The sequence below is a fragment of the Homo sapiens genome, chromosome 11 (genome assembly GCF_000001405.40).
Source record: "Homo sapiens chromosome 11, GRCh38.p14 Primary Assembly".
Lineage (NCBI taxonomy): Eukaryota > Metazoa > Chordata > Mammalia > Primates > Hominidae > Homo > Homo sapiens.
Genome location: NC_000011.10, coordinates 83,438,197 through 83,446,809, shown reverse-complemented (window position 1 = coordinate 83,446,809; position 8,613 = coordinate 83,438,197). Strand labels below are relative to the sequence as shown.

The window sequence follows — 8,613 nt, the reverse complement described above, 5'->3', positions numbered from 1 at the left end:
GCATAGTCAAGGTTAATGCTTCTTTTTCTTTATCCCAAATTGGAGAGCATTTAGGCTCTTTTTCATCAAATATAAAAACACAGCCCAGTTCATGGCTCATTTGGCAGCAACCCTGAGATGCTTTACAGCCCTACACCATAAAAGGTCAAAAGGCCGTCTTATTCTCAATATACATTTTATTACCCAATATCCTCCCAACATTAAATAAAACTCCAAAAATTAAATTCTGGCCCTCAAACCCCACAACAGGACTTAATTAACCTCACCTTCAAGGTGTACAATAATAGAGTGGAGGCAGCCAAGTAGCAACATATTTCTGAGTTGCAATTCTTTGCCTCCACTGTGAGACAAACCCCAGCCACATCTCCAGCACACAAGAACTTCCAAATGCCTAAACCACAGTGGCCAGATGTTCCCCCAGGCCCACCTCCCCCAGGAGCTTGCTACAAGTGCCAGAAATCTGGCCACCAGGTCAAGGAATTCCTCCTAAGCCCGGGATTCCTCCTAAGCCATGTCCCATCTGTGCAGGACCCCACTGAAAATCGGACTGTTCAACTCACCTAGTAGCCACTCCCAGAGCCCCTGGAACTCTGGCCTGAGGCTCTCTGACCGACTCCTTCCCAGATCTTCTCAGCTTAGGGGCTGAAGATTAATGCTGCCAGATGGCCTTGGAAGCCCCCTAGACCATAACAGATGCCGAGCTTCAGGTAACTCTCACAGTGGAAGGTAAGTCCGTCCCCTTCTTAATCAATATGGAGGATACCCATTCCACATTACCTTCTTTTCAAGGGCCTGTTTCCCTTGCCTCCATAACTGTTGTGGGTATTGATGGCCAGGCTTCTAAACCTCTTAAAACTCCCCAATTCTGGTGCCAACTTAGACAATACTTTTTAAGCACTCCTTTTTAGTTATACCCACCTGCCCAGTTCCCTTATTAGGCCGAGACACTTTAACTAAATTATCTGCTTCCCTGACTATTCCTGGGATACAGCCACATCTCATTGCCACCCTTCTTCCCAATCCAAAGCCTCCTTTGCATCCTCCTTTTGTATCCCCCCACCTTAACCAACAAGTATAGGATACCTCTACTCCGTCCTTGGCAACCGATCATGAGCCCCTTACCATCTCATTAAAACCTAATCACCCTTACCCCACTCAACGCCAATATCCCATCCTGCAGTGTGCTTTAAAAAGATTAAAGCCTGTTATCACTTGCCTGCTACAGCATGGCCTTTTAAAGCCTATAAACTCTCCTTACAATTCCATTTTATCTGTCCTAGAACCAGACAAGCCTTACAGGTTAGTTCAAGATCTGAGCCTTATCAACTAAATTGTTTTCCCTATCCACCCCGTGGTGCCAAATCCATATACTCTCCTATCCTCAATATCTCCCTCCACAACTCATTATTCTGTTCTGGATCTCAAACATGCTTTCCTTACTATTCCTTTGCACCCTTCATCCCAGCCTCTCTTCGCTTTCACTTAGACTGACCCTGACACCCATCAGGCTCAGCAAATTACCTGGGCTGTACTGCCACAAGGCTTTACAGATAGCCCCCATTACTTCAGTCAAGCCCAAATTTCTTCCTCATCTGTTACCTATCTCGGCATAATTCTCATAAGAACACACGTGCTCTCCCTGCTGATCATGTCTGACTAATCTCCCAAACCTCAATCCTTTCTACAAAACAACTCCTTTCCTTCCTAGGCATGGTTAGATACTTTCAACTTTAGATATCTGGTTTTGCCATCCTAACAAAACCATTATATAAACTCACAAAAGGAAACCTAGCTGACCCCATAGATCCTAAATCCTTTCCCCACTCCTCTTTCCATTTCTTAAAGACAGCTTTAGAGACTGCCCCAACCCTAGCTCTCCCTGACTCATCCTAACCCTTTTCATTACCCACAGCTGAAGTGCAGGGCTGTGCAGTCAGAATTCTAACACAAGAACCAGGACCGCACCCTGTAACCTTTTTATTCAAACAACTTGACCTTACTGTTTTGCCTAGCCCTCAAGTCTGTGTGTGGTGGCTGCCACTGCCCTAATACTTTCAGAGGCCCTTAAAATCACAAGCTATGCTCAACTTACTCTCTACAGTTCTCATAACTTCCAAAATCTGTTTTCTTCCTCACACCTGACACATATACTTTCTGCTTCCCAGCTCCTTCAGCTGTATTCACTCTTTGTTGAGTCTCCCACAATTACCATTGTTCCTGGTCCAGACTTCAATCGGGCCTACCACATTATTCCTGATACCACACCCCATGACTGTATCTCTCTGATCCACCTGACATTCACTCCATTTCCCCATATTATTTCCTGTTCCTCACCCTGAACACACTTGGTTTATTGATGGCAGTTCCACCAGGCCTAATCGCCACTCACCAGCAAAGGCAGGCTATGCTATAGCATCTTCCACATCTATCACTGAGGCTACTGCTCTGCCCCCCTTCACTACCTCTCAGCAAGCTGAACTCATTGCCTTAAGTTAAGCCCTCACTCTTGCAAAAGGACTAAACGTCAATATTTATACTGACTCTAAATATGCCTTCCATATCCTGCACCACCATGCAAGAGGTTTCCTCACTATACAAGGGTCCTCTGTCATTAATGCCTCTTTAGTAAAAACTCTGCTCAAGGCCGCTTTACTTCCAAAGGAAGCTGGGGTCATTCACTGCAAGGGGCATCAAAAGGTGTCAGATCCCATTGATCTAGGCAACGCTTATGCTGATAAGGTGGCTAGACAAGCAGCTAGCCTTCCAACTTCTGTCTCTCACAGCAACGCTTATGCTGATAAGGTGGCTAGACAATCAGCTAGCTCTCCAACTTCTGTCCCTCACGGCCAGTTTTTCTCCTTCACATCGGTCACTCCCACCTACTCCCCCGCTGAAACTTCCAACTATCAATCTCTTCCCACACAAGGCAAATGGTTCTTAGACCAAGGAAAATATCTCCTTCCAGCCTCACAGGCCCATTCTATTCTGTCATCATTTCATAACCTCTTCCATGTAGGTTACATGCCTCTAGCCCATCTCTTAGAACCTCTAATTTCCTTTCCATCATAGAAATCTATCCTCAAGCAGATCACTTCTCAGTGTTCCATCTGCTATTCTACTACCCCTCAGGGATTGTTCAGGCCCCCTCCCTTTCCTACACATCAAGCTCAGGGATTTGTCTCTGCCCAAGACTGGCAAATTGACTTTACTCACATGCCCCAAGTCAGAAAACTAAAATACCTCTTGGTCTGGGTAGATATTTTCACTGAATGGGTAGAGGCCTTTCCTACAAGATCTGAGAAGGCCACCGCAGTCATTTCTTCCCTTCTGTCAGACATAATTACTCGGTTTGGCCTTCCCACCTCCACGCAGTCTGACAGTGGACTGGCCTTTATTAGTCAAATCACCCAAGCAGTTTTTCAGGCTCTTGGTATTAAGTGAAACCTTTATATCCCTTACAGTCCTCAGTCTTCAGGAAAGGTAGAACGGACTAATGGTCTTTTAAGAACACACCTCACCAAGCTCAGCCAACAACTTAAAAAGGACTGGACAATACTTTTACCACTTCCTTTTCTCAGAATTCAGGCCTGTCCTTGGAATGCTACAAGGTACAGCCCATTTGAGCTCCTGTATGGACACTCCTTTTTATTAAGCCCCAGTCTCATTCCAGACACCAGACCAACTTGGACTGTGCCCCAAATAACTTGTCATCCCTACTATCTTCTGTCTAGTCATACTCCCATTCACCATTCTCAACTACTCATAGATGCCCTGCTCTTGTTTACACTGCCGGTTTACACTGTTTCTCCAAGCCATCGCAGCTGATATCTCCTGGTGCTATCCCCAAACTGCCACTCTTAACTCTTGAAGTAAATAAATAATCTTTGCTGGCAGGACTATGCTGAATCTCCTTAGGCACTCTAATTAGATGTCCTGGGTCCTCCCAATTCTTAAACCTTTAATACCTGTTTTTCTCCTTCTCTTATTCCATTTAGTTTTCCAATTCATACAAAACCTTATCCAGGCTATCACCAATAATTCTACATGACAAATGTTTCTTCTAACAACCCCGCAATATCACCCCTTACCACAAAACCTTCCTTCAGCTTAATCTCTCCCACTCTAGGTTGCCAAGCGGCCCCTAATCCTGCTCGAAGCAGCCCTGAGAAACATCGCCCATTATCTCTCCATACCATCCCCCAAAATTTTCACTGTCCCAACACTTTACCACTATTTCATTTTATTTTTCTTATTAATATAAGAAGACAGGAATGTCATGCCTCTGAGCCCAAGCTAAGCCATCATATCCCCTGTTACCTGCACGTACACATCCAGATGGCTGGTTCCTGCCTTAACTGATGACATTGTCTTGTGAAACTCCTTCTGGCTCATCCTGGCTCAAAAGCTCCCCCACTGAGTACCTTGTGACCCCCACTCCTGCCCATCAGAGAACCCCCCTTTGACTGTAATTTTACTTTACCTACCCAAATCTTATAAAATGGCCCCACCTCTATCTCCCTTCACTGACTCTCTTTTCGGACTCAGCCTGCCTGCACCCAGTGAAATAAACAGCCTTGTTGCTCACACAAAGCCTGTTTGGTGGTCTTTTCACACAGATGCAAGTGAAAATGATAAACAGGCTTAGAGAGTTAAACTTATTTATCACATGAGAGATACAAAAAAATGATTCCCATTTATCAGTGATTTTTTTCCCCATCATGCCATGTTTTTAAAAAAACTCATTATTTTAGAATAGCTTTAGATTTACATTAAGAAAGCAAAAGTAGTACAGAGACTTTCCATACACACCAAAACTCAGTTTCCTCTATTGTTAATATCTTGTCGCAATTAATAAACCAATGTTGGTATATCATTATTCACTGAAGACTATGATTTATTCTGATTTTTTTTGGCATTTACACTTTTCCAAGGTTCTAACCAGGGAACTGTGTGATATTTTGTTATGTCTTTTTAGGCTCCTTTTCATTTTGACACTTTCTCAGTTATTGATGACCTTGACAGTTTTAAGAAATACCAGTCAGGTATTTCACAGAATGCCTCTCAACTGGAATTTACCTGATGTTCTTCTCATGATTAGACTGATATTACAGGTTTTGGGTAGATAAGTGCCATTCTTACCACATCAAGGGTCCACGACTATTACTGTGGATCTAACCTTGATCACCTGGCCCAGGTACTGTTTTTCAAGTTTTTCTACTGTAAAGTTACTCTTTTTTCCTCCATTTCATACTGTACTCTTTGGAAAGAAGTCACTGTGTGAAGCCCACATTTAATGAGTAGGGAGTCATGCTTTTCATCCTTGATTGCTGATATTTTTAGGCTTTGTGTCCCCACCTAAATCTCATCTTGAATTGTAATGCAAATAATCCGCACGTGTCAAGGGAGGGACCAGGTGGAGGTAACTGAATCACGGAGGTGGTTGCCCCCTGCTGTTCTTGTGCTAGCTAGTGAGTGAGTTCTCACAATATCTGATGGTTTTATAGGGGGGGTCTTCCCTCTTCACTTGGCACTTCTTCCTGCCACCTTGTGAAAAAGGTGTCTTGCTTCCCCTTCCCCTTCCCCTTCCGCCATGATTGTAAATTTCCTGAGGCCTCCCCAGCCATGCTAAACTGGGAGTCAATTAAACCTCTTTCTTTTATAAATTACTCAGTCTTGGGCAGTTCTTTACAGCAGTATTTAAGTGGACTAATACAAGTGCAAAGTAGCTACATGAATTATTTGAAACTTTTCTGTATGGAAGAGTTGTCCATTTGCCTCTATTTATTCAATAATTTGTTTCTATCAAGAGGGATTCTTGGATATTTATCTGATAGTTTTATAGTTTATTTAGTTTAGTTTTGCAGTTTAGTTTATCTGATAGTATTATAATCCAGAACTACTTTATTTTGCTATACAAATTGTTTCAGCTTTGTCCATTGAGAGCTTTTTCAGTTAACTCTGATGCTCCTTTGACATACTCCCACTATTGTGGATTTTTTGAGCATTTTCTTACTTTCTATACTACAAGAGGCTCAGGCTTATTTTGTATATTTCTTGCCCAGTCCTACCAATCCTAGAGTCAGCCATTTCTCCAAGGCTTTTTTATTGGAGAATGTTATTAAAAATTAAAATCTGGGTACTAGGTGTGTTCTTTGCTAATGGGACATTATTTCCTCTAGATCCTCTCAGTTGACAGAGCAAGGTAATGAATATGTGTATAGTAACTGGTGAATATAGAAACATTTATATATGCAACCATCTGTATCTATATTAAGCTAAACATGAGTTTCTACTGATATCTCTAGTCTAACTCATCACCACATGGACCAATCAAGCCTCTTCCTCTGACTTGTGTGTAAACTCTTACTCCAACAATGAGAAACCTGAGGCCAATCATTTTTCATCTCTTTATTTCTTTCTGACTCAGCAGATCCAGTACAGGACCCTCTGCTTAAGAAAATCTTGAAGAGACCAGGCACAGTGGCTCACACCTGTAATCCCAGCACTTTGGGAAGCTGAGGCAAGTAGATCACGAGGTCATGAGTTCAAGACCAGCCTGGCCAACACGGTGAAACCCTGTCTCTACTAAAAATACAAAAATTAACTGGGCATGGTGGAACATATCTCTAATCCCAGCTACTTGGGAGGCTGAGACAGGAGAATCGCTTGAACCCGGGAGGCACAGGTTGCAGTGAGCTGAGATTGTGCCACTGTACTGCAGCCTGGCGACAGAGCGAGACTGTCTCAAAACAAAAAGAAAAAAGAGTCTTCAAGAGGCTTCAAGTCTCTCACATTCTGACATTTAATGGTCTCTTGATTATCTCAGGCTCACGCTACTTTTTTCCACACTTGATGGTAAACATCTTCATTGTAATTCTTTAAGGGTTTCACACATCTGAGGCATGGAAAAATAACTAGTGAATAATTGATATAAAGGGCAACAAAGCCAACTTAAGAGGGAGATAATGTTTGTAGTAAAAAATCCGAAGGTAAAAATTTGTTTATGTAGCATCATTTTGAATTGTTATTAAGTCAGCCCTCAGTTTTCCTCATAAAGTACCCTACTCGTGTGTAGATCCACTCAGTCAAATGCAGTGGTTTATCCAGTGACCTACGATTGTCAACCCCCCCTTGCCTCTGCTTCCTGCAGTCTCCACAGGTGACACTTGGGTTCCAGGTGGTTTGCAACACTCCACGGCATCAGGAGGTGTGGGGTTAGCTTCCGCTCATCAAACCTGACCTGAGCCTCCTGCCTTCCTGCCACTGCCAATGCACTGGTCCCATCTGTTTTTCTCTGTGCTCTGAATCAACTCCCTTTTGGATAATACTTGGAAAGGCCTTAGCAAATAGACAAGATTAAGTTATCTGCAGGCAAATTATGAATTGTGTATCATGCTGCTTGTGTCAGGATTATTTAGTGAAAGGTAGAAAATACTTGAAAATACTAATATAGACTTACATGTACATTACACGTACTTCTCCAGTCAGCCATGTTATCTACCTTTGCTGGCAGCAGGTGGGGAAAGGGATGGGCAAAGGGAAAGTTGGATTGTTGAAGAAGAAATGTAAAGAAAAATAATAGCTGCTGAAAGCAAGACAATAGGTCTGAAAGTCTAAAATTTTTATGTGCATTTAACATATCAGCTTGATATAGAATTTTCCCTATAATGTAGATTAGAGAGCCATAAAACTAGAGGTAGAAGGCCAGGTGCGGTGGCTCATGCCTGTAATCCCAGCACTTTGGGAGGCCGAGGCAGGTGGATCACCCGAGGTCAGGAGTTCAAGACCAGCCTGGCCAACATGGTGAAACCCAGTCTCTACTAAAAATACAAAAATTAGCCAGGCATGGTGGCACACACCTGTAATCCCAGCTACTCGGGAGGCTGAGGCAAGAGAATTCCTACAGGCAGGGAAAAAGGAAGATACCATGAAATAGAAGAAGTAAAAGAGAAGCCCATCCCTTATAATCCAAGGCTACAGAAGGCAGAGGGTGGACAGAAGAAAGGAAAAAAAGGTCGGGAGGTAGACAAACTGTTCCAGTTTCTCTCCTTGGGCTGAAACCCTATAAGTGAGGAGAACAATTAGGGCATGGTCAGGAGCCCTCTGACCTATCTGGAACCCTGAGAGGAAGTGAGCCAAGATTGTGCCATAGCACTTCAGACTGGGCGACAGAGCAAGACTGTCTCAAAAAAAAAAAAAGAGGAAGTCTCATCTTGTGGGCCAGATACCCTAGCATGTCCATAAGAACTTGGGGATTGGCCACATCAGAGTAAAACTCAGTGGCACAGCATGGTCAGAATGGGACAGCCAGAGCTCAGCTCTCCTGAGCTGCTCTTTCTGTAAGATATGTTGGAACCTGGGAGTCCCCAATGGGCCCTAAAAATGGGAACCAGAAGGTGGCTGAATCTGAGAGCCAGCATTCCAACCATGGGACCTCCTGTGGTAAGGGGTGACTTAGCAGAGAAGGCTGAGCCCTACTCCAACGCCCCATCCCACCCCCAACCTGAAACCAATGGGGAACATGAGAGGCTCTGCGGAGAGTGAGATTGGTAGCCAGGAAGCACTGCAGCCTCTGCCACACCTAGAGAAACTGGGCTGCAAGCAATACCAGTT

The 8,613-nt window shown here is 43.6% G+C and overlaps 2 annotated features.

Annotated features, from left to right (window-relative positions):
- Positions 5,096 to 5,789: an enhancer, noted in NCBI's record as "OCT4-NANOG hESC enhancer chr11:83152064-83152757 (GRCh37/hg19 assembly coordinates)". NCBI's record gives its function as "activates a minimal SCP1, AML or CMV promoter by ChIP-STARR-seq in naive H9 embryonic stem cells {active_cell/tissue: H9 hESC(naive)}" and the evidence as "EXISTENCE:reporter gene assay evidence [ECO:0000049][PMID:30033119]".
- Positions 7,900 to 8,400: an enhancer, noted in NCBI's record as "H3K27ac hESC enhancer chr11:83149453-83149953 (GRCh37/hg19 assembly coordinates)". NCBI's record gives its function as "activates a minimal SCP1, AML or CMV promoter by ChIP-STARR-seq in naive H9 embryonic stem cells {active_cell/tissue: H9 hESC(naive)}" and the evidence as "EXISTENCE:reporter gene assay evidence [ECO:0000049][PMID:30033119]".